Source organism: Homo sapiens, chromosome 14, assembly GCF_000001405.40.
Source record: "Homo sapiens chromosome 14, GRCh38.p14 Primary Assembly".
NCBI classification, from domain to species: Eukaryota; Metazoa; Chordata; class Mammalia; order Primates; family Hominidae; genus Homo; species Homo sapiens.
Genome location: NC_000014.9, coordinates 36,465,328 through 36,491,292, shown reverse-complemented (window position 1 = coordinate 36,491,292; position 25,965 = coordinate 36,465,328). Strand labels below are relative to the sequence as shown.

Genomic DNA, 25,965 nt, shown 5'->3' with positions numbered 1-25,965 from the left:
GGTTCTTTTTCTTCAGGATCAGGCACAGAGACTGACTGAATGGCTCCAATTATCAGGATTTGAAAACCCAGTATCAGAATCTACCACTTTGTGTAAGTCTGCCCTGAGCAGTGTTTTCTTTAGCAACAGGACACTTGCATAATATGGGATCGCCTTTTCTTCTTTACTTCTCTCTGACCTTGTAAAATATGACAAATTTTTTTCATGATTCATAAGTCCACCGCATGGGAGATTTTGCAGGAAATGCAACATAAGAACTAAAAAGCATTCCTTAAAAGATGTGTTCAGGTAAGTGACAAATGGAAGTTTGTGGGTGGTCAAGGGTGTTATTAAAATTGTTGACAACATAATCAATAGTCTGAAGACTCAACACATTGATTTTTGTAATCACGGAAAATTATACTAGGCTTTCTGTGTGAGTCGGGTTTTGAGCATATGTCCACAAAGCTGAAGTTGGTTCTGTGAACCTCAATTAAGGTCAACCATAGATGTTTTACTCAGCCAAGAAGAACCTTTTTAAAGTTTGTTTTTTTTTTTTTTTAAGCGATAGCTATTCTGATTAAAAAATGATCACTAGGGGCCGGGCACAGTGACTCATGCCTGTAATCCTAGCACTTTGGGAGGCCAAGGTGGGCAGATCACCTGAGGTCAGGAGTTCGAGACTAGCCTGGCCAACGTGGCAAAGCCCCGTCTCTACTAAAAATACAAAAATTATCTGGGCATGGTGGCAGGCGCTTGTAATCCCACCTACTTGGGAGGCTGAGGCAGAATTGCTTGAACCCGGGAGGTGGAGGTTGCAGTGAGCGGAGATTGCACCATTGCACTCCAGCCTGGGCAACAAGAGCGAAACTGTCTCGGGGGAAAAAAAAAAGACAAAAAACAATCACTAGGGCTGGGCATAGTGATGCACACCTGTAATCTCAAAACTTTAGGAGGCCGAGGCAGGCAGGTCACTTGAGCCCAGGAGTTCAAGACCAGCTTGGGCAACATAGTATGACCGTTAGCTGGGCATGGTGGTGCACACCTGTAGTCCAGCTACCTGGGAGTCTGAAGTGGAAGGATCTCCTGAGCCTCAGACGTCGAGGCTGCAGTGGGCTGTGATCATGCCACTGCACTGCAGGCTTGGTGACAGAATGAGACCCTGTCTCAAAAAAAGAAAATCACCAAATCCTACATAATCTATATACCACAGGAATCTTAGAAACAATATATGGGCTGCAAGTGAACTTTTTAATTCTCAAAGGCAATACAAAAAGGATATGAAATTAAAAAAATAAAACGTTGTTCCTTTCTTTTGCCCTAGTCTCCTCAATCCCATTCCCCAGTGGTGGCCATAATAGTCTCTCATGTATTTTTACCAAATTAAAAAAATTCATACGCAAGCACATCATCTTTTAAATCACAAATAAAATCATACAATATATTTACTATTTTAAACTTGTTTTTATTCACCTCAGTGTATGTGGCTGTTGCTCCATGCCCTACACATGGGTTTATCTCATTCTTCTAGAGCTGCAAAAGATATTACATAATATAGTATTATAGATATAGCCACTACCATGTTGATAGATATGTAGGTAATTTTTAATTTCTTTGCTTTTACAAATAATACTTCAGCAAACATATGTATAGTTTTTTTTGTTCTTCTGTAAGTGTACTTGCAGAATCAATTCCTTGAAGTAGAATTGCTAGATAAAAACACATTTGCAATTTTTAAATTATATTGCCACATTACTGACATAAGAAAATGTAACCATTTATTTTTCACTGACAATTTTTGAGACGTGAGGATTTTGACGAGGACTGACATGAGTTCTGTGTGTGACACATCTGCCTTCTAGTCCATGTCTTCAAACTTGGCTAAACAGAGTTCAGTGGCAGCCGGGAGGCTGAGTGATGATCTCAGGGAAAGAATCCTCCTATGGCCTTATGTGTTCAAATAGCAGCTGTGGCTGGGAGGAGCAGCACTGGGATGAGGAGAGAAATAGCTAAGGAAGTACGGCTGCCATCGGTTTGGGACTGGGCCTGAGTTTTCACCAAGGTCACTTCCTAAAAGCCTTCCTGACAAGAGTGAGGGCAGAAGAGCAAAACCAGGAGCCACTCCCATAGGCTGTCGTGAGAGTGGAGAAGCAGCTATATTAGCACCATGTGCACCCTTGCTTTCTCTGGCACACTCTCCATCTCTGCTCAGATTCTAATCCAAGTGCGCATTTACCTTTTCTCCATAGCTCATCCTGGCTTTTAGGGAAGTGCTGTTCTCAGTCACCTGTGGCTGCTCATCAGCAGGCAGGAGTTCTCTAGGCTTCCTCTCTATTTTACCATTTAGTTTGTCTCTGCGTGATTAACCCAGAAAATTTGCCCGACATTGACTCAGTCCCCGGATTTGAAGAGATAGCCTCATCCTTGAAACTTTGACTCCTTATTCAATACTTTTATCTTTATAAGTCCTATTTTCATCTTGAAATAGAAACTGGGAAGTGCCTCTTAATCTACACCTAGATCTCAGCCTTTACGTTGAGGGGTTACTTGAATGTTCTCAGGGTTACAGTTACACTAGAAGTTTGGTTTGTATTTAGCATTAACATGCTAGGCACTATGTTAGCCCCTGTGGGTGCAAAGATGAATAAAACACAGTTCATGCCTTCAGAAGTGTATACCATGGTGAGGAGGAAGCACTAACAAACCCAAGCCACTCTGAGAAGCATTAAAACAGAGGTATTTAATAAAAGTTCTATGAAGTCTCAATTCTGGAAATTTATCCTACAGACATACGAAAGGACTTATAGACAAGTTGTTCACTACAGCATTGTATGTTATGGGAAGAGTTAAGAAACATCCTGTCAACAAGGACATTTTATGAGTCCTATGTACTGACATGGAGTGATCTGCGGGATATATTTTATATGAGCAATCAAGCTGCAGAACACATATGGTGTATGTTGCTTTTGTATAAGAAATCTAGGAATTAAAAATATGCATTAATGCTTGTACATACATAAAAACATTGGAAGAGCCTGGAGCAAAACAGGGCAAGTGCTAACCTATAGGGGGCATTAGGGATTAGTGGGGTGGATAGGAAAAGGGAACATAATACAGCTTTTCAATGTATACCTTTTAATGTCATTTTAATTCTTGAGCTATATGATTGCATTATCTAGTCAAAAATATTATATTAAAAACTTAAATGATAAAATAAGATTTCCCCCTCTTCAACCTCTGCATTTCCCGAGGTATTTGGAAGTGCTTGGCTACATTTATCAGGGATAAAGAACATTACATGGGACTGGACAAGGGAGGCTCCGAACAGGATAAAGAAATTTCTCTTTTATTATTATTATTATTATACTTTAGGTTCTAGGGTACATGTGCACAACATCCAGGTTTGTTACATATGTATCCATGTGCCATATTGGTGTGCTGCACCCGTTAACGTTAACTTGTCTTTTACATCAGGTATTTCTCCTAATGCTATCCCTCCCCCCTCCCCCCACCCCATGACAGGCCCTGGTGTGTGACATTCCCCACCCTCTGTCCAAATGTTCTCATTGTTCAATCCCCACCTATGAGTGAGAACATGTGGTGTTTGGTTTTCTGTCCTTGTGATAGTTTGCTCAGAATGATGGTTTCTAGCTTCATCCATGTCCCTACGAAGGACGTGAACTCATTGATAAAGAAACTTTCTTAGAGTCCACTGAATTTTTCTTACCACATTCATAAATCCACTATCTCATGGAGATGATTTTGGGCAGAGCTAGGATAAAGAATACTATTCTTCACAAAATTCTGAGAGATGGAATTTCTGGGTTTTGTTTGTTTTGTTTTGTTTTGTTTTGTTGTTTTGTTTTGTTTGAGACAGAGTCTCCCTCTTGTCACCTGGGCTGGAGTGCAGTGGCATGATCTCAGCTCACTGCAACCTCTGCCTGCTGGATTCAAGCGATTCTCCTGCCTCAGCCTCCCAAGTAGCTGGGACTACAGGCGTGTGCCACCTTGCCTGGCTAATTTTTTGTTGTTGTTTTGTTTTTTTGCTATTTTTAGTAGAGATGGGGTTTTGCCATGTTGGCCAGGCTGGTCTCGAACTCCTGACTTCAGATGATCTGCCTGCCTTGGCCTCCCAAAGTGTTGGGATTACAGGCGTGAGCCATGACACCCAGCCTGGAATTTTTTATAAACAGGACACATGTAAGATGTGGGAATAATTTCAGGAGATTTCATTCTTTTAGCGTCCTACAGGCAAGGCTGTGAGAGTGGCCACTTCAGGTTTCCCATGGTGATGTGGTAGGAAAGGCACGATTTACCTATACCTTGAGTTGACATGCTTAAGTCATGAGGTTGAGCAATGTGAAATTTTTCTTCTTAAAGCTTTAAATAGGCTGGGCATGGTGGCTCGCCCCTGTAATTCCAGCACTTTGGGAAGCCAAGGTGGGAGAATCACGTGAGCCCAGGAATTAGAGACCAGCCTGGGCAACAAAGTAAGACCCTGTTTCTACAAGAAATCAAAACATTAGTGGGGTGTGGGGGTGCATGCCTGTAGTTCTAGCAATATGGGAGGTGGAGGCAGGAGGATTGTTTGAGCCCAGGAGGTGGAGTCTGCAGTGAGCCATGACCGCCGGGGTAATAGAGCAAGACCCTGTCATACCCACACAAAAAGCTTTAAATAAAGGTCTCATGCTGATCAATGAATAAGAGAAATTGGCTGCCTTACCAAAGAAATACCTCTTTTCTTTAACAAAGATATGTCCCATAAATTTTCTAGAACATCACATTAAAGTGATTTACAGAAAGGTTGTGGGATAGAATTAGATCTTGAGATTCTCTAGTCTCTTCCATAAAGTGAAATCAGGAAGCTTTGAAAGAAGGTGGTAGAGAATAAATAACTTGTGAGGAAAAATGTTGATGATGATTTCATGATTATAATGTTAGAAGATTGTTAAAGAGTGATATAATCACCACAGGAGTCACACAAGGACATAAAAGTCCCCTGGTGGATGAGGAGGACTATACTTCCCCGTACATCTCTGCACCAAAGCTCATTACTACATGACTGCCCTGACTTTCCAGTTCATTTTAGTCCTTTTTGGCCATAAGACTATACCCAGGTGATAAGCCCTGGTTACCCAGGAAGCTTGGGGGTGGGTGAGCATGAAGGGCTGATTCCCTGCCTTCCATTCACCAGTTTCTCTCATTGCTTCCCTCATCCCCCACAAATGTCATTTCGTCTCTCAGCTGGTCTCAAATCAGTCCTGTGACAAGAGTCTGAAAAATCCTAGTGACTTAGGAATGAGACTTTCAGATATGATAAAGTGACCATATAACTCATCTAGCCTACAACTAGTATCAGTTCCTTTTTTGATGTATTAGTGAGTCATTTTATTTTTATGTGATTATCACACAAATGTGAACATGTTAAGCAAGTTATTGCTAGCAATCAGGACCGCTTGTTACATAACATCAGTAAGAGGGACTCAGGTGAGAAACAACTCTGATTATAGATATTTAGCCCAAATGTACATCAGTTGTAACTCCTTCAATGTATTCTTTTAGCAGCTAATTGAAATACTTTATCAGTGAAAGTCTTGACACAACAGTTATACAAACATACACAAAGAACATGGGGAAATTAAATAAGACTTATAATATACACCTTAACAAAATGATGGCTTAATTTGTACTCCCTTTGTAATTTTAACTAAATATTGTGGTGAGTAGTTGTTACTTTAAATCCTAAGTATATGGGCATTTATTACACACAATATGAAAATACTTCAGGAGGCTTGTGATTAACGCTGTGGTATTCAGGCACAGTTTATAGAGACTTTCAATCAAAGACAAAAGGCCCAAGCAGATGATGAAACACTTAAAAAAGATGTATGTATACAACCAAGGACTTAATTCAGACTTTCTCATTTTAGCTCAGTTCTAGTTCTTGGCTTACCAGGGATGGCACCAAAGAAGTATCCTCTGAGCCTGGCTCAGGGATGCCCTATGGATTAGCCCCTAGGGTAGGTTGGCCAGAAAAAATGCAGGATGTTCAGTTAAATTTAATTCCAGATAAATAATGAAAAATTTTTAGTATAAATATGTCTCAAATATTGAATGTAACATACTATATTAAAAAAAGTTAGTTGTTTATTAGAAATTCAAATGTAATTGGACATTTTTAATTTTTATTTTTTCTAAATCTGGCATCCCATGGGTGCTGAAGAATACTCAAATACCTCCTTTCCCTGCCCGCCATGACTGAACTTGGATCTTTCAATCATACAGACACATGCTCTAACTCTTATGTACTCACTCTCTGAGATAAAATGCCTTACAGATTTGAAACCCTCAAATCCAAAATTTCAATCTAGCTCCATGGTCTGGATCTCTTACTGGATATTCCCTATTACCTAAGCTTGCTCCCTTCCCACAGAACATTTTGCTTATACCACATATTTTCCAAGACATTTTTAAACATTAGTTTTTGAAGAGAAACATCAGTTGCCTTGCCACTAAATGTAATACAGAGAACACGTGAACACCTAAGTTCCTCTCTCTCTATCTCTCTCTCTCTCTGTCTGCCTGAACTTAAATGCCAACTTTGATTTTTCTTTCTTTTTTTTTTTCAGACAGTCTCACTCTGTCACCCAGGCTGGAGTGCAGTGGCACTATCTTGGCTCACTGCAACCTCTGCCTTCCAGGTTCAAGCGATTCTTATGCCTCAGCCTCCTGAGTAGCTGGGATAACGGGTGCATGTAGCCACACCTGGCTAGTTTTTGTATTTTTAGTAGAGACGGGGTTTCGCCATGTTGGCCATGGCCAGTCTTGAACCCCTGACCTCAAGTGATCCACCTACTTCGGCCTCTCAAAGTGCTGGAAATACAGATGTGAGCCATTGCGCCTGGCCCAATTTTGATTTTTCAAAAGCATGTCCTTAAGGTTTGGTGCCTAAATTTTAAAGGGTAGACAGATGTGAAATGAGATACGAGAGTTCTTTTCAGACTAAGTTTGTACCTCTAGATTGGTCTCCTGGAACTGTGGTAAAGGTAGCTACTCAAAGATTTAATTTAAGATTTTCTAAGTCAAACCAAATGCCACTACTACTAAAATATAGGAACTAAAGAAAAGGAGCAGCAATATGGTAGGATAAAGAATAAAAAATGTAGAGTTAGCAGATTTGAGATCAAGTCCTAGCTCTGTACCAGAAGTAGCTGTGAGATCCTAGGCAAGTCATTTAGCTTCTGTGACTTGCCAGTTTCCTCCTCAATACAACAGGGATAATAGGGCCACCCTAAAGAGACATACTATTTGTAGAAATGATTTGTAAACTTCAAGTCCAATCCAGATGCTTGTAGTGGTGATGATGAAGATGATGGTCAAGATATAAACATTACAGAAGTCAATTATTAGAGAGATTTAAATTTAGACTCTCAATTTTTTTCCTACCTACTCAGTTCACAAAAACTATATATGTAAGAGTATCGTTCTTACATGGGTTGAGAAAAGAAAAAAAGATACCAAAAACTAACCCAATTTCATATACTTTTAGAAAACAGCTAACTAAAAGGTTGTGTGTCTAAAAATGGGATGTTTAGAGTAAAATATTTAGGATCACATTGAAATCATGGATAACAGAGAAGAACACTGAGGAACATTTTGTTTAAAGCCATTTACTTTTATTTTTGGGTCAATACTGATTCAATACCCAGCCTATCTATTTTATAAAAAGCATTAGCAAGGTCTTTTCAGACTCATTTATTATTATTATTGCCATAATCAGCTTGGAGTTTTCAGTGCATAGTGAAGGCTTTGAGGAGATGTTGAGTGTATCTATTTGTTCAGTGATAATAGAGAGGATGGAGCAAGAGAAGAGGCTGGCCTCTATGCCCTAGGGTTCCTTTTTGGCACTTGTGTCCTATGCTCAAGGAGAAGGGTGGAGGGAGCTCCCAGGCCAGCTCTGGTAAGACTGCGGGAGGGCTGAGCTGTCTGAGCACTGGGTGCCAACTCTGATTGGAGAGTATTTATCCTTGTTTAATTTTACTTCAGGCTTTACTATATAACCAACACATACATGTTACAGAAAACTAGTGAATATAGATAAGCAAAAAAACAGAACATAACAGTCACCCCTAACTCTTCCCTCCAGAAGTTTGGAATGCTCGTGAGATGTTAGTTTGTGTTGCACTGTATCCCCATGTGAGCTGTGAGCTCTGTGAGGGAACAGAGTTCATCCCGCTCTGTCAGAATCCCCCAAAGAGGCCTATTATGGTGGTCTGCATGGAGGTGTTACTCAACACACACATTTTAACCAAGGCATCTAGGTTGGTGCTAAAAGTCTTTGTCACCAAATCCTGAGCTCCATCCTTTACAGGGTCTTGAATTGCTTTTCTTTCACTTCCACTTCCCACACTTGGTCATAAAAGTAAGGGAGTTAGGGTTCCAGCTCTAGATTAAAAGTGTCTACCTTTAGAACTCAGAATCATCTGACCTTGCCTGGGGACTGAGTGGAGAGGGATCAAGTGGGATAAGCCTGGCCCAGTCATGAAACTTTACTTGTTGGAGTGGAGCAGTTACTCTAAGTACCTAGGTTGTTTGCCTTTGCCCCAGGTGCAGATTTCAATGGACTCAGTTCTGGATCCTGGGAGAAAGAGAGGATGGTACATAAAAATCAGAAGACACATCTTCACCCAAGCCTCTGAGACTTTGGCGAGCCAGGCAATATTGCTTTGGAAATACCTGATGGAGAGAATAAATAGAAAGAGGCATTCTTCTCCATTGCACCATAAATCACTGAGCAGAATTGGCCCATCTGTCCTCTGGGGTATTGGTGGCAGTGCCACTAGAACATGCAGTGGTGGTGGCCAGCTGAGGGGCAAGTGGCCTGGTGCTATACAGGAGGCAGTTGTTTCCAGAGAGGCACAGATATGGTAGAGCCCTGAAGTGCAGTGGGATCTAGAGGTATTCCAGTTTACATATAATGTAAACTGGAATGTAAGGAATATAATGTAAGGAAGTATTATATGTAAACTAGAAGTATTCCAGTTTACAGTAGATGTGGCTGTGTCTGTAGGACACAGTGGTAATCAATAGAGCAAAACAAAAGCATAAGAGTGGATCTTTCATAAGAATTATAACCAAGTACTTGCGAGACACAACCCAAGACATGTGTGTTGCATGCGTGTGTCTGTGTGTGTGCGGAGAAGGGCAAAAACTCTAGAGAGGGCTCCATTACAGACATCTGACCTGACTTCCTCTTTCCTAAAATCAGTCCTAAAAGTTGTTACTAAAGTAATAAAATAATTGTCCTTTCCAGTCATTTGACTGAACTATTTTTGGACTCACAGCCTTCCTCTGGTGTCCTATAATACTTGAATTGGATTCAGGCATCTCTGACTCCCTCCCCAGAATTTGTGGGTTAATAATAATATTGATCTTGCAGGGTTGTTAGGAGGATTAAACAGTGTAATACTTGTTAAGAGCTCAGCACAGTGCCAGGCATATAGTAAGCACTTCTCAGTATTAACTCTAATATGACTGCTGCCTCAGTTCACCTCCCACACAGCTTAGTGTGCTGTGAGAGAGACTTAAGCTTAAATTGTGACTCACCATTAATGTCCTTGGACATATTACTTAATTTCTGGGTAATCTGAATTAACCCTAGAAATATGGAGCCCACTGTGTGCCAGGCATTGTGCCAGGTACTGAAGACCCATGGATAAACAGCTCGAACATGCCCCTGCCTACAAAGCGCACAAAGTCTGGGAGGCAGGGGAGGCAGTGAAATGAGCAATGTTAATATAGAGCTGCAAGGAAATCAGATGTGCAGATGCCCACTCATCCAACTTGGGTTGGACCAATAGTTAATAGACTCATCCAAAAAGTCAGTAAAGTGGAGAGTCATTAAAAATGTTATCTACGTGCCTTAAATGTTCTATTTCAATTTAAAGCAGATTAGAGGTTGTCAGGAGACAGGGGAGCAGCGGAATGAGGAGTGGTTACTTAAGAGTACAGGGCGTTTTTCTGGGGTGATGAACAAGTTTTGAAACTAGACAGAGTTGATAGTGGCACAGCATCATGAATGCACTAAATGCCATTGACTTGTATACTTTCAAATGGTTAATTGTATGTTATATGAATTTCACTTCAATAAAAATATAAATGTATATTATTTTGCCAGTTTTTTGATGCAAGGCTAAGGACTTTTCCTTAAATATATGTCCAATAATTGAAGTCCCAGGTCATCTTTCTGATTTAAACCACATCCATAATACATACACATGTTTTACTTCTATTTTAATTTCTTTAAATTGGAGCAAGAACTTAGATACTGACAAATCTATGTCAGAGTAGAATCTGTTTAGATTTTTAATGATTTCTTTCCATTTACAACTTTATATCCATTAAAGCAACTTTTAGAAGCTTACATTTATGTCTTTGTACATTATAAAAACAACTTTCTGTACTTATATTTTATTAATTTACATAAGATTTCCTCAAATAACATAGCTATAACAATAAGTAAAATTGTTATAAAAGAACTTAGACCAAACACATCTGACACTTGGTAGGCATACAATGCAATTCAACTGGTGAGAGCAGTAGTAAGATGAGTGTATAGACAGCAGCTTATCAGCTTTGAGCATTGGGGAGGGCAGGGCTGTAGTCAGTGTGCTTTACAAAGGAAATTATGTGTATCAAGTAAGCTGGTTAAATAGAGGCCACTTTAAGAGCATTTGTAATACAGTGGATGCCCAGAAGAAGGATACTTAACCCGGACTGGGGGTTGAGGAATGTCTTTCCAGGGGAGGTGACATAAGTTGAGATCTAAAGATGTGGAAGGACTTAGCCAGAAGAAAAGTCAGAAGATCTGTTTCAAGCACTGGAAACAACCAGAGAGAGAAGACAGCACCTACATTGGAGGAACAGCAAGAAGTATTGCTGGAGTGTGGCGTGCAGAAGGGGATGTGTTGAAGATGAAACTTGGAGAGAATCATGTTAACCATGTTAAGAAGTTTAGACTTTATTTTAGGGACAGTGGAAAGCCACGGAAAATTTTTAAGTAGAGGACTGACATAATCAGACTTGTGTTTTAGAAAGATCCCCTGGACTGCATTCCAGGGACCAGAATAGAGATGGTGGTAGGTCAGTGGAGGGGTGAAGGGTAGGAAGTCCAGTGATGGGGCTACCAAGGGAGTGGTGATATGAGCCTAGTACTATAGGGATGGAGAAGAGTACACCTCAGCTCTGAGAGGCAGGTAGGGGGTAGACTGTACAGGGGTTTAGTGGCCAAGTGTATTTGGGGGTGAAGGAAAGAAGGAAGACCAGCTTTGGTGATGGTGTCATTTGCTGAAATAGAGAACATGGAACAAGAGTAGCTTTGGAAAGAAGATGAGGTAAACTTAGAATATATTGAATTTGAGGTCTAATGAAGCTGTGGGATGTCCATTAAGTAGCTAGACATGTAACTCTAAAACTGGATCTCAGAGGTTAAAGTGGCCAAAAAGTCATATAATGTAAGGAATGGAAAGTATCCAATGAGTTTTATCAATGAGGAGGCTCCTGGTAACATTGGTGAAGGCAGCTTTAGAAAGCAGGTAGGCACATGAGCCCAATGGTAATGGGTTGAGGAGCCTGTGGGCATGAGGAAATGACCATGGGTACTTAATCATTTAGAGAATTTGGGCTTTGAAGGGGAGGACAGAGTAGGGTAATTTCCAGAGTAGCTGAAAGAGAAGTAGGGGATGAAGAACATATTTAAGCATTACTAAGATGAGTCAGTAGAAAGGTAAAGACTGCAAATGTAAGGGAGGAAATAATGAGGGGGTTAAATGCAGAAACCCACACTTAGTATAGAACGCTGTTGTGAGGGGATAAGTGAGTAAGCCCATGTAAAGCATTATGCTCTGCCAGGCACGGTGGCCCACGTCTGTAATCCCAACACTTTGGGAGGCCGAGGTGGGAGGATTGCTTGTGCTCAGGAGTTCAAGACCAGCCTGGGCAACATGGCAAAACCCTGTCTCTGCAAAAAATACTAAAATTAGCTGGCACGGTGGTTCACGCCTGTAGTCACAGCTACTTGGAAGGCTGAGACATGGGAATCACTTGAGCCCAGGAGGTTGAGGCTGCAGTGAGTGGTGACTGTGCCATTGTTAGTTCCTTTCATTCTCTATGCACTGCCCATCCCGTATTTTGTTTCATCTGTGCCCTGATATAATTACTTTGGCCTGTGCCTTTTTGGCTGCATACCTGTGGTTTTAGATAGTTACTCATGTAATTCTGGATGGGCATCTAGGTTTAGAAACTAGCAGACTGGTTTAATGGCTTGCCTATCCCCTCTTCCCATATATGGCCTCAGCAAATCCCATTTCTCAAATGTGTACTCACAGTTTCACTGTCATGTTTAGCTGCTCAGCAGAGGTGATGGGCTCCTAACCACACCTGAGTCATCTCATGTACTCATTCAGACTTCAAAGTATCTTAGCTTTCCATTCTTTCAACTAAGCCAAGATGGGAGGTTTCTGTTCATTGTGGAAAGAGGCTCTTTTCTCCTTGTAGCCTTACTCCAATGTTTATCTTTAATTATTAACAAGAATTATTAAATGCTTATTTCATTGCTTGCACAGAGTATTCAAAAAACTGAATTTTCCTTTCCTTAGTTCTGCTTGACACATTTCATTTCCTCATTGCTCACCTCTTAGCCATTTTTCTGCCATACAGGCCCTCCTCCTCATGCCCTCTTTTTTTTTTTTAGCATTTCGATACGTTTCTTTCCAATTATTTCTATACTTTGGAAAAATATAATTGAAAAAAATACTGCATGTTTTTTTTTCACTTGCTATTTTAACATAATTATTTTCCTGTTAAAATTATTAACTATAATTTTGATAACTGCTAGATATTTTATCTTACAGCTGTACTAAGCTTCATCTGGCCATTTTCCTATAATTAAGCATCTAGGTGCTCATGTGTTTACACATATATCTTTGTTCACATTGTTTATTATTTCCCTACCTAAGGTTTCTAGAAGTGGGATTACAATGGTAAGCATTTTAAGAGGAATACAAAAGCTAGTTTCACATTAAGAACTAGAAGTGACACTGCTGTTTTCTCACCAGCAGAATACTAACTTTTCAAGTCCCATTCATATTACGACAAAAAAGAATGGCTTCACAAATCTCATTCATTTTATAAGTAGCATCATCTTCATCTTAAAAATATAAGTCATCTAATTGTTTACAGTGTTACACACTGTTCAAAGAACCACATAGCTCTGATTCCTTCCTTCCAAAAATTTACATTCCAAGGAAGATATACTGATGTGAAGACTCACCAAATGCAGACAAGAACTATTAAAAGTACCCCATGGATGGACCTCCAAATGAGTTTAGGGTAATTGCGCTTAAAATATTAGGACCAAAGTACATTTATTTTATAGATGGAGGAGGGGAGGAGACGAGTGGGGACCAGCTTGACATCCAGTCTTCACCTGGACATATGGAAAGAACAAATGTGCGATCTGCTCGTTCCCTCTGAAGGTCTCTGTTACGTATTTCCTCCTCTCCTCCAGAGCATAATAACCAATGACTGCTCTCAGAAAGGTACTGTGACCACCACTTGCTTGGCTCTCCAACTTCCTCCCCCATTTCCCTCTTGACTCCTGTTTGCCATAACACCTTCTGTCCCCTAGCCTTGCCTCAGGTCCCCGACGAATCCTGCCCTTAATCTGTGGGGGTGGTAGGTGGCACTGGTTTGAAGAGCTTACTGGATCTCCCTCAGTGAGTCAGCCTGGAGTTGTGTTTGAAAACCACAGGCCCTGACTGTGGCTGTCAGACCTCCCAGACACCACCTGCTGCTGCCTATCATCATCTTCAGGTGCTGGGCTCCCCTGTGGGCCTCGTCTGCCCGCCCTCTGCTGCAGCTGTCCCATGGGCGCCCGCCCTCTCTGACACCACAAGAGAGCCCATCTAGATTCCAGGAAAAAACTCATCTTTATTTGCCTTCTTCCCACTGAAGGTAAAAGCAACATTAATAACCACAACAAATACTTAGTGAGTGCTTACTATTATTCATTTAATTGTTGGCCCTTCCATCCCTGGCCATGATGAGAGACATGCCATAGCTTACTCCTAAAGAGACCTGAGGACACACGTGCACAAACATATTGGGCATATCATCAATGGCATCAAAACTGATTTTCCCTGTCTACCCAGAACAGGCCTGAGGGAGAGGGAAAAGCGGATACCCACCTGTGTCGCTGTTTGCGTGCCAAGTCCAGGAACAGTCCATACAGCCCTGCTGCATCCCACGACGCTGTCACAAAGCAGGAGTTCATCCGAGGCCAAGGTGTTGTCATGAGAATATTCGTTAAAGTAGGGACGCTGACTTTGTTCTTGGGCAGATTCTCTTCCTGTGGAGTATCCAGCCTGTTTGCCTAGTTTTCCTGTTCTTCTGGGGTCTGATCTCTATCTGTTTTACTGCAGTCCAGTTACCAAAGTGGTATAAGTAAAATTGAAAGAATTCTAAATACCTTTTCCCCCCACGTTAGCTGCCTCACGTTAATGTGGTCTTACGGTCTGCAAATAAGTGTTTTGATGATTTGGCGACTGCAGTTACCCATACTAGCTCTCCTACCACTCACTACTGACAGTTAATTATTATCGAATATCCACCCACCCAGGGTGAGTTATAAGTTATACCAGGTGTTTTGGTTAATAATACTAATGCAATTAATTTACTGTTTACTCTCTCATCTTAAAGTAATCAGCTGGTAAAATAAGATTGATTGGGTTGGCCAGGTGCGGTGGCTCACGCCTGTAATCCCAGCACTTTGGGAGGCTGAGGTGGGCGGATCACGATATCAGGAGATCGAGACCATCCTGGCTAACACAGTGAAACCCTGTCTCTACTAAAAATCCAAAAAAAAAAAAAAAAAAAAAAAAAATTAGCCAGGCATGGTGGCGGGTGCCTGTAGTCCCAGCTACTCAGGAAGCTGAGGCAGGAGAATGGCATGAACCCGGGAGGTGGAGCTTGCAATGAGTCGAGATCGCGTCACTGCACTCTAGCCTGGGTAACAGACCAAGACTCTGTCTCAATAAAAAAAAAAAAAAAAAAAAAAAAAAAAAAAAAGATGGATTAAATTGGTACTTAAATTTTTTTTCTTTGCGAGGCTTTTCCCTTATTCATATTAAATTTAAACTGTTTTTCAAATTTATTTTACTATTCATATTTCCTGTGCATGAATCATATAATCATGTCCTTTGCCCATTTATCCATTGGGAATATTATTAGTGTTCACATGCATGTTTGAATAAATTTTCATATACTTGGTGCTGATAATTCTATTTTTCATGTGTGTTGATTTTTTTGGTTTTTATTGCTAGTTATTTCTATTACTTACAAGTTAAAAATTTATGTAATTATATTTGACCATTTTATTTCATTTCTAATTTCTCCATTTGCTCCAATTGTAAGAAAATTATCACTTTAAAGTGAGACTAAAAGCCCTATATATTCTTTTAGGTCTCTATTTCCCACCATCCCTGAGATTTTACTCTGACATTCTCTGGGCCTTACAGCCCAGGCCCTATAATTATTCAACACATTATTTTCACAAAGGTTAGATGCTTGCATTATGACTTCAATTGAGCAGTTACCTTAGAGTCTACTACCTACCTATTTATCCTGTATTTACAACTATTTCCCATGTTTTCTGTTGTCCAAGGGGCTTACAACATTCAAACCCAACTTCACTCATTCACTTACTCATTTACTTATTCACTCACTCACACTTTCATTTATTCATTCATTTACTATATTTGGCACACAAACTCTAGGGTGACCACCAGGGATCCTTGCTTCCTGGTGTGTTCACTTGTGTGTAGGCAGGACCTGGGACTTGCTTCTAACCAACAGAATACGGCAAAAGTGGTGGGATGTTCTTCCTGTTATTGTGTTACATAATATAAGACGCTGTCTTGCTAGTAGACTCACTCCAGACACTCTCCTTGTTGGCTTGATGAAGTAAGCAGTCATGTTGAGGAAGCTCTCATGGTGAGGAACCTTGGGCAAACTCTAGCCAGCAGTCAGAAAGAAGCCTGGATACTTGGTTTTAGAGCAGCATGGAAATGAATTCTGCCAATAACCTGAGTGAGCTTAAAAGGGGTTTCTTCCTCAGTCAAATCTCCAGATGAGAACACTGTCCAGGTGTCACCTTGATTACAGTGTTGTGAGACTCTAAGCAGAGGGCCCATCTAAGCCATGCCCTTACCTAGAAACTGTAAGATAATAAGTAGTTGTTGTTTAGAGCCACAAAGTATGCAGTAATTTGTTACGCAGAAATAGAAAACAAATACACGGTGCTGTGCTAATGATCACATGCATGATCTCTTAGTGCTTCAAGTAACGTCATAAGCCCGATACTAATATTATCTTCATTTACAGATGGAGAAACTGAGGCCCAGAAATTGATGTCCAGAATGCTTTGCTCTTAGCCACTGTACTATTATGGCATATTTTATCTTTATGTATTGCATCATTTCATGGATTCAAGTTTATCAATGTCCTTTGACAAGTTTAAAAATCTGTCTGCTAAAATCTATCCAATACATTAAGGAAAAGTCCCACTTGGCACATCTCCCACACCAGGTAGATGTTTTATAAGTTCAACTCCATAAAGACATTTCATGAAACTGTTTTATGCTGTACTTATACCATACATCTTGTAGAAATAATATTAGATTAATGAATAGGAAAGGTTTTTCTTAAAAGTGATGGACTGGCTGGGCGTGGTGGCTCACGCCTGTAATCCCAGCACTATGCGAGGCCAAGGGGGCCAGATCACGAAGTCAGGAGTTCGAGACTAGCCTGACCAACATGGTGGAACCCTGTCTCTACTAAAAATACAAAAAATTAGCTGGACATGGTGGTGCAGACCTGTAATCCCAGCTATTCAGGAGGCTGAGGCAGGAGAATCGCTTGAACCTGGCAGTCAGAGGTTGCAGTGAGCCAAGATGGTGCCACTGCTGTACTCCAGCCTGGATGACAGAGGAGAGAGAATCTGTTCTAAAAAAAAAAAAAAAAAAAAAAAAGTGATGGATTATGAACTATTTAGAAGAAAGAATAATCATGGCAGACATGAGTCCTAAATGCTTTGAATTTATCTGGAATTAGAACATTCAGAAAAACATTAGTTAAAATGTGCTGCCGCTTGGATTCTGTCTTTAACTTTGCTGTACGACTAAAACATTTAATTTGTGTCTTAATGTTAACATTTCTGATCAAGTACAGGGAAAAACATAATATAGAGAGATTTAGAAATACTTTTGTTTAATTGCTAAAGTCCTATTTGGTTCATTGTTCTGAGGAGTTAAGGTGGAATTGTGATCCCAGTACCATGTCTTCTAATAAAAGCCATTTTTGTTCTGCATTTTCAGATGTTAATTATTCATACTGCATGACTGAGGATTTTGGAGGCAGAGAGAGATTCATCTGCAATATTTGGAACACCAATGGAGGTCTACGTCAACACAGAATTTATACAGCAGCTGGTGCTAGTCAGAGCTAATGACAGAATTTCAGTTTAATAAAAAGACCCCCAACTGAGCACACCATCTTGAAAAAAGTATACTTATCAAACAGCTTTCAATCAGTTCAAGAGAGACACCTTAATTGGGGAGAGGAAGAATTGCAGAGTAGTTTGTAATCATGCCAATTCCAGATCAATAACTGCATGTCTGTTCTTTGGTAGAAATAGCTTTTGCTTTATATTAAGTAATCACATATATATTCTCTCTATTTGGATAAGGAAACCTTCGCTTTATTTGACAATGTATAATGATATACTCTTCTAATTCACCTCTGTGTCTTCACAATAAACATGAGTAAAATTTAGACAAGTGATGGTAAAGGTCAATATAATTATTTATTTTTAAAATAAATTTTGTATCTAACAGGAAAGCAGTTCTTATGAAATTTTTATATTTTCAAAAATTGTTTTGTTCAAATAAAATTTTATGAGTAAAGTTAAATGATGGTGGTTTAATTATAAGAAGAGTATACTGAACACTGATAATCTGATTTGTATGCAATTACTTCGGGGAAGGCTGTACAGAATAATCTAAAAAGAAACAAAAAGAAGGCAATTTACTTTTTGAAGGAAGGATTTGGAATACTAAAGAAGAATATGATTCAGTCATCAAGTCTTAGTTTCCTTTTGTTAAAAGGAGACAGTCATTCAAACTGGTGGCTTTCAACCTGTTCGTAGGCTACTAGTCTTAGTGGTGCCTTACAGGGCACTATAGGGCAGGCAGGGCAGGTGGAGAGGGCAGTGAGGGGAGTATGGCCCAATAGAGAGGTCGAGGCAAAGCCTGCAGGGGAGGGCTCTGCAGTTCCCTTTCTCACATCAACAAGGGCATATCTTTTCTTTTTTCCTGCCTGCCTTTTTCCCCCCTTCCTTCCCTCCCTCCAAACTGTATCTATTTACATAGACATACATTTTTGAATGGAAATATTGGGCCTCTATATAAAATTTCTTTTTGCAAAATAGGGTTCCTCTGCTAAAATACAGTTTGAAAATCACTGGACTAGACAATTCTAAGTTTTTTTCTTTCTATGTTTCAATTACTGTTAGGATTTCAAGATCCAGGAACAACACAGCAAGGGAGATTGAAAATCTTTTAGGACACACAACAAACACCTATCTTGCATAAATGGTAGTTCAGCTAAGAGGCAAAGCTATGGGTGAAATGGCATCTTACAACGCTTTCAGATATATGGGACTGTCTTAGTCTGTTTGTGTTGCTTTAAAGGATACCTAAGGCTGGGTAATTTATGAAGAAAAGAGGTTTATTTGGTTCACAGTTCTGCAGGCTGTACGAGACGCATGACACCAGCATCTGTATCTGGTGACCATGGCAGAAGAAGAAAAGGAGCCAGCACATACAGACCACATGTCAAGAGAGAAGAAACAAGAGAGATGAGAAGGTGCCAGTCTCTTTTAACAACTAGCTCTCAGGGCAACTCCCATGGGATCTAAGAGTGGGAACTCACTGTTTACTGTAAGGATGGCACCAAGACCTTCATGAGGGATTCAACCCCATGATCCAAACACCTCACACCAGGCCCCACCTCCAACACTGGAAATCAACTTTCAAAATGAGATTTGATGGGACCAAGCAAACCTTAGTAGAAACTATGATTAATAGGTTAAGTTTTTTTTTTTTTGAGTAATTATGTAGAGCAGAGCCATGCTTACTTAGGCACTTAATCTACTCAGTGATGTTTGGGCAAAGGAAGACTATGACCTAATTTTAAAAATAAAAGCCTTTTGCATTTAGAGAACCATATGCTGTTAGAGCTGGTAGGATATATGAACTCATGTTTCTCATTTTATATATTTACTTATTAATTAAATTAATAAATTTTTACTGAATTTGAATACGTGCCAGCCAACATGTTAGGCATTAGGTATATAGTATATTGTCCCTATCTGTATAGAGATTATGCTTTAGTGGAGGAGACAGGAAATTAAACAATCATACACATAAGCATATAATTGCAAATTTGTGTAAGTACTATTAAACAAAAGAAAAGAGTTCCCTGAGATCCTGTGTTGGAGTATACGTGAGAACACTGGGCTGTAGAGAGCAAAAGTGACTTGCCTCAAGTCACTGAGTGTATGCTGTAGGGCTGGCACTAGACTTGGTCACATGTTCTCTCTGTCTCACTAGCTTAGCTGTTAAGTTTAGGTCCATAGTAAGGGCTGAGTGATAGAAATCAGAAAGCCATGAACTTCCCCCTGGGCTTGTGCACTACTTTAGAACCTTGGGCAGCCCGTGAGACGCCTTGGGAGACACCCAATGATCTGCACTAAGAAAGGAAACTTCGAACTTTTGAAAATGGTTTTCTTCATTGGTTAAGGTCCCCGTGCTTACAATGTGGTTGACTAGAGGCTGAAAATGGTCTGCAGGGATAGAAAAGTCCATAATTAAAGAAGAACAATTCCTTAGTAGCTACAGCAAGACTATTATTTATTCAAAACTTTCAGGCTGCAACCAGGTTCAACAGCTTTCTTGAGTCTACATTACTGTGAAACAAGTCGTTTGTTCCTTTTACAAACTTTTGCCCAGATAGGTTTGCCAGACCTATCAATTAGAAGAAACCTAAGTTAAACCATCATTATTAAAATTATTAGCTAAGAGCCACTATGATGAGGCCATTCTCCTATTTGAAGACAGCCAACTGGCATAGCTTTCAGCCCATGTGGCTAATGGGGAGTGTGAGGTTATTTTCTCTGATAAGAATCTGAAGAGTAGGGACAGAGTGAGTCTAGTTGATTGCAGAGCCATAAACTTTGGAGATCCAACAAATACACAGCGAAGCTGGTATCCTTTTATGAGCATTGAGAAGCTTTGCCTGCCTACATGGATGTCATCTACCTCTGGGAGGCACCTGACATCAGGTAGTTAACAACAATTTAAGTCCTTCCTAGTGTTTGCTGGGATAAGCGATTGACCTTCCTCAATCTAAAGCCTAAATCATAGTCAAGTGAGCACTGCATTAATGAATAGATGGGATTATAGCATACATGCTGTTTTTTTTTTTTTTTGTGCAAACTATCTTTTTTCTTTTTCCTTTTGGCAAACCTCCTCCCTCCCCATCTCCTTTCCTGCTGCTCCACCCCTGCCACAACCCATGCTACAAAACTAGCATGTATCTTCAAGTATTTTATTTTTTTCTTCAAGTATTTCAAAAATGCATGCTCATATAATCCTATCTAAGCATATATATGTATAAAAAAATCTATATACATTCCCACACATAGAATTTTGGGGCCATTTTTTAGGAAAGCAGGGTTATATTATACACTCTTTTCCCAGATTTTTCATTTTCAAGAGGAAATACAGTTCTACTTCATTTACTGTATGGCTGTATTATGATTTACTTTGTTTCCGGTTTTCTGCTACACTGAATAATGCTCAGATTAATTCCCTTGCACATGTGTCCCTGTGTACTGGGACTTTCATTTTTATAAGTTAGATTTTCTGAAGTATAAATTCTGAGTCAAAGAAATGTGTATATTTAATTTTAATAAACGTTGCCCATAGTGAGGGATAGCGGCACATGCCTCTAATCCCAGCTACTCGGGAGGCTGAGGAGGGAGGATCACTTGAGCCCAGGAGGTCAAGGCTGTAGTGAGCTATGATTGTACCACTGCACTCCAGCCCAGGCAATAGAGCAAGATCCTAATGTCTAAACAAGTTAACAATAATAACAAAATAAATGTTGCCCAATTGTTTTCCAAAAAGGATTGTAACAATTCTTATTTCCAACAGCAATGAGAACACCATTTTCCTCCAGCAGCCATACCAAAATGGATATTATCACACTTATATTTTTACCAGACTGATGAGTTTAAACCTTATTGTTAATTTATTTTCCATTTTCCTAATTACTAGCAAGTTTAGACACCTTTTCACAAGTTTGTAGGCCACCCAGCTTTGCTCCTTTGTGAGTTGTTTTCTTTTTATTTTGGGTTGTATGTTGGAAGAGCTCATATATTAATATTGTATTTTCCATCTGTGTTAAAATATTTTTAATTTATCACTTGTCTGGTTTTTATTATTATGTGAAACACACATATTTTAATATATCTAAATCTGTGAGGGGTGTCCAATCTTTTGATTTCCCTGGGCCACATAGGAAGAAGAATTGTCTTGGGCTGCACAGAAAATACACTAACGCTAATGATAGCTGATGAGCTTTAAAAAAAAAAATCACACACAAAAAAATCTCATAATGCTTTAGGAAAGTTTATGAATTTGTGTTGGGCCAAATTCAAAGCTGTCCTGAGCTGCAAGTGGCCCACGGGATGCAGGTTGGACAAGCCTGCTTCTTTTACATTTTTTTTTAACAGCTTCTAGGTTTACTGTTTTACTTATGGAGACTTACCCATATACATACATTCTCGAAAAACTCTTATTTTTATGTCTAGTTTTTAATCCATCTGAAATTATTTTTGTATATGAGTTCAACTTTAGTTTTCTATACTATTTTTAAAACAATCACCTTTCCTACTGAATTGAACTATCATTTTCATCATGTATTAAATCCTCATATATATTAGGATCTATTTCTGGGTTCCATGTCCTGTTCCACTGATTTGTTTATTCCTCTGCAAATACCTGATTTGTTTTTAGAGCCTTTACAATATCTTCTGATATTTGGTAAAGCATGTCCTTCCTAATTATTCTTCTTTTTCTTTTATTTAAAAATGATATTTTCAGGCATTTGTTCATTTAAGTAAATGTTAGGGTCAGTGAATGTGAACAGAAGTTATGTGTGTTTCTCCTGGTCAGAAGCTTTAGCAGCAGTATGTGATTTGCTTCCCTCTCTTTTCTTATCTTAGTGATGACAGAAACACTTGTTGAGATAAAACTTTCAGCTTGGGTTTTTGAGTGACAAAGATGAGCAGAGCCACCCTGATTACCCATGTTGGACACATAGAAGGAGCAAGAAATAAACTTTAGTTGTGTTAAGTCACAGAGATTCTGAGCGATTTGTTACTGCAGTATCGCCCAGCTCATTCTGACTGATGAGAATGCTGTGAGACTTATGTCAGATGACATACATAAAAACACGTATTCAAAGTCACAAATCAACTTACATATCAATAAATATTGGCCAATATAATTAAAATTATGAGCAAATAACAACAATAATAAAGCTACCCTTGTGTCTTGAGACAGGACAGGACTTTCCTGCCGGGTGGTTTAATTTCAGGTGGTTAAGAAGATACATGTACCAAAAGAAATACCTGCCCTGCCTGCTCAACATTGCTCTATACTGTAGTTAAGAGTTTAATTCCTGCTAAATGCAAGCCACTTCACCTTGCTAAAATGAAAGTCCATGAATATAAGGAAGGAAACTTAAAACACATTTGAAGATAATGATTTATATTAGGAATTGCAAACTAGTAGCCTGTGGGCCAAATCTGGAGCATACATGTTTTATTTTGATGACACTATTTTAAAAATCAGGGAAACACACACACACATTCACACACACATTTACACTCACACACTCTCTCACACACACTTACTTCTGGCTTCTCTTGAAAAAACTCTAAGATCTTACAACCCTAAAATCACATTTCTGCATGACCAAAATCTCTGGAGCTAAGTAACTGCATTGTCTAGTTCACCAGAGTTTCCCTACCCTTTGTTGTCTTTTTTTTTTTTTTTTTTAGATGGAGTCTTGCTCTGTCGCCAGGCTGGAGTGCAGTAGCACGATCTCAGTTCACTGCCACCTCCACCCCCCGGGTTCAAGCGATCCTCCTGCCTCAGCCTCCCGAGTAGCTGGGACTACAGGCACGCGTCACCATGCCCGGCTAATTTTTTGTATTTTTAGTACAGATGGGGTTTCACCATGTTGGCCAGGATGGTCTCAGTCTCTTGACGTCGTGATCCACCCACCTCGGCCTCCCAAAGTGCTGGGATTACAGGCATAAGCCACCGTGCCCGGCCCTACCCTTTGCTGTCTTACACCCACCTAGCTCACTTCACCTGTTTGCATTTCCTATTGGTTCAGAGTTGCATAGGAATAGGTGACCCCTGGGGATTTATAGTAAATTAAAATTTGATTACAGTGTTCCCCCCTTATCTATGGGGAATAGGTTCTAAGACCTCCAGTGGATGCTTGAAACCACAGATAGTACTAAGCCCTACATATACTACGTTTTTTCCAGCTGATAACCCAGTTGACTAAGTGACTAACAGACAGGTAGCTTATACAGTGTGGATAGGGTGGACAAAGAGATGATTCATGTCCCAAACAGGACAATACAAGATTTCATCACACCACCCAGAATGGCTCACAACTTAAAACTTATAAATTATTTATTTCTGGAATTTTCCATTTAATATTTTTGGACCATGGTTGATTATGGGTAACTGAAACTACAAAAAGCTAAGCCAAGAATAAGGGAGGACTACTGCATTTCTTCAGCAGTTTGGTATAGTGAGCTCTAGGTACAAAGAAGACAAAATGCTACAATGGAGGGAAAAGTAGGGTACTGATAACTAAGCCATTTGGTATCGTTTTGATAGAACCAGTTAGCAGAGGAAGAGACATTTCTCTTCCTGCAGAAAAGAATAAAAATAGGTCTTTGATACCTCAGCAGCAATTTTCATCATCAAATCAGTTACAGACCACACAGGCTAATTAATTCTCTTGGCCCACTCAGAGGGTGAGAATCCCAGAAATACCATTAGTCAGAAATGAACTTAGGAAAACAGTTGAAAAACATCTTGTTGCTTAGGAAGAATCTTAATACAACTAGCTACTGAATTGCTTTTTAAAGTTGCAAACTGACCCTCTCCCATTTTGTTCATTTAGGAAGAAGGATAACAGAAAAGGGATTGGACAGAAAGGTCTAGAATCTAGATTGTTCAATGTATAATTGCTATGCAATTGCTTGAGCATTATCTAAAACCTTTCACGTTCATATCCCTTGAAATCCCTCTTACGTTAATCACTTTTATCATTTTGGCTCCATTTTCGTTCAAAGAAAAAACATCTTCAGGCCACTCCCACTTTAGGGGCTGCTAACTGACCCAGTTTTCAAAGGCAGAATCTCCCAGTACAAATATGCCTCTTTTTGATGTTCAACCAACGAAACAAAAACAGCCTTTAAAGTTTAATGTAATCTTCCTGCAGATTTCCATGGTACCTATCACAATTTTATCAATATCCTAAATTAATTTAACGCATTGGAAACCGAAGGTGAGTGTCAGATAGTGTGCCAAGGTAACGATTGTGTCTTCTGAATTACCTGGCACTGACAGTGGGTTTGAGAGTGGGGCATCCTAGGATCTTCAATGAGATACGTCTTTCTGTTTCATATTTTAAAGGTCGTGAGGAGTTGGCTGAGAAAGAAAGGGACATGAAGTATCTGGTTTTAAATCATCCCAAACTCAAATTTATCTCAGCAATAAAATTTCACTTCAGCTCTGTTTCTTTGTTGGACTGGAAAGAGGCGGAAATTTAAAAAGGCCTGGAGTAAACTTATAGACTGAAAAGAGACCTTCTCAGATCAGAAATAATTTTTCCAACGACATTTTTCAAACATAGACGTTTTTTAAAAAATCCCCTTAGAAAATTGCATTATCACTGGTAAATTATTAAAATAACTTTTTCAAACAAAATACAGACTGTTTTTATAGATCTGTCATATAACTTCAAATGGAATAAATAGACTAGATAAGTGAGCTTTTTATTTTCATTCTAGTTATAGTGGAGGCATTTTTTTTTTATTCTGGGTTAGCAGTTTCCTCTAAAAATACTCTGGAAACCCTTTATAAATGAAAGGAATGTGTATAGTATGTAAATTCAAAGTGTGCTGTCCTCATTTACCCAGTGGAATTCAAAATAAGCCCCAACTTGTGAACATATTAAAGCAGATTGAAATGGATATTAGCGGGATTTGTAAGGAGAAGCACTCCAGTCAGTCAAACATGCTATGCACGAGAACTTTGATAATGTTGTTTTACTGATAATTACCTGCCGGCTGCCACCTCAAAGTGGGATTTCATGCAGGTTCCAGTATTTAAATATTATGTTCACGGCCAAGCCTGCAAAGACACTTACACCAATCTGGCCATGCCCATTTTATTTCACAATTATCTCTGTCTTTCTTCATGAAAAGCATGCACTTAACTCCCTTTTAATTGTGTTTGAACTGTGTGGGCAAGAGATCTTCAATACTATACTCTCTCTTCCTTAGTCCAGAGCAAGTTCTGCACTCTCTCCCTCTCAGATGTCAGCAGACATCAGAATTACTGGAAAGCAGCACTTTCTAACTTGCATGAATATTCATCTGACCTCAGAAACTAGTCGCTGGGCAAAGTAAACACCCCACACTTACATTAACTAAAGGTGGTTTAAGGAAGGACCAACTTACGTAGTCCTCCTGGGCTGCTAATGCCTGCT

General features: G+C 39.5%; 1 long non-coding RNA gene across 9 annotated transcripts in view; it reads left to right on the top strand.

Annotated features, from left to right (window-relative positions):
* The window catches only part of SFTA3 (surfactant associated 3), a 46,269-nt gene extending 28,264 nt beyond the window's left edge, over positions 1 to 18,005 (top strand). For 2 of the 9 annotated variants that reach the window (NR_161364.1, NR_138601.1), the window contains exons 2-5: positions 2 to 92; positions 14,195 to 14,322; positions 16,420 to 16,623; positions 17,412 to 18,005. This is a non-coding gene — a long non-coding RNA (surfactant associated 3). Of the gene's footprint in view, position 1; positions 93 to 13,414; positions 13,578 to 14,189; positions 14,349 to 16,419; positions 16,624 to 17,411 lie in introns of all 9 variants that reach the window. The other 7 variants (NR_138600.1, NR_138598.1, NR_161365.1 and 4 more) reach the window with 7 other exon arrangements.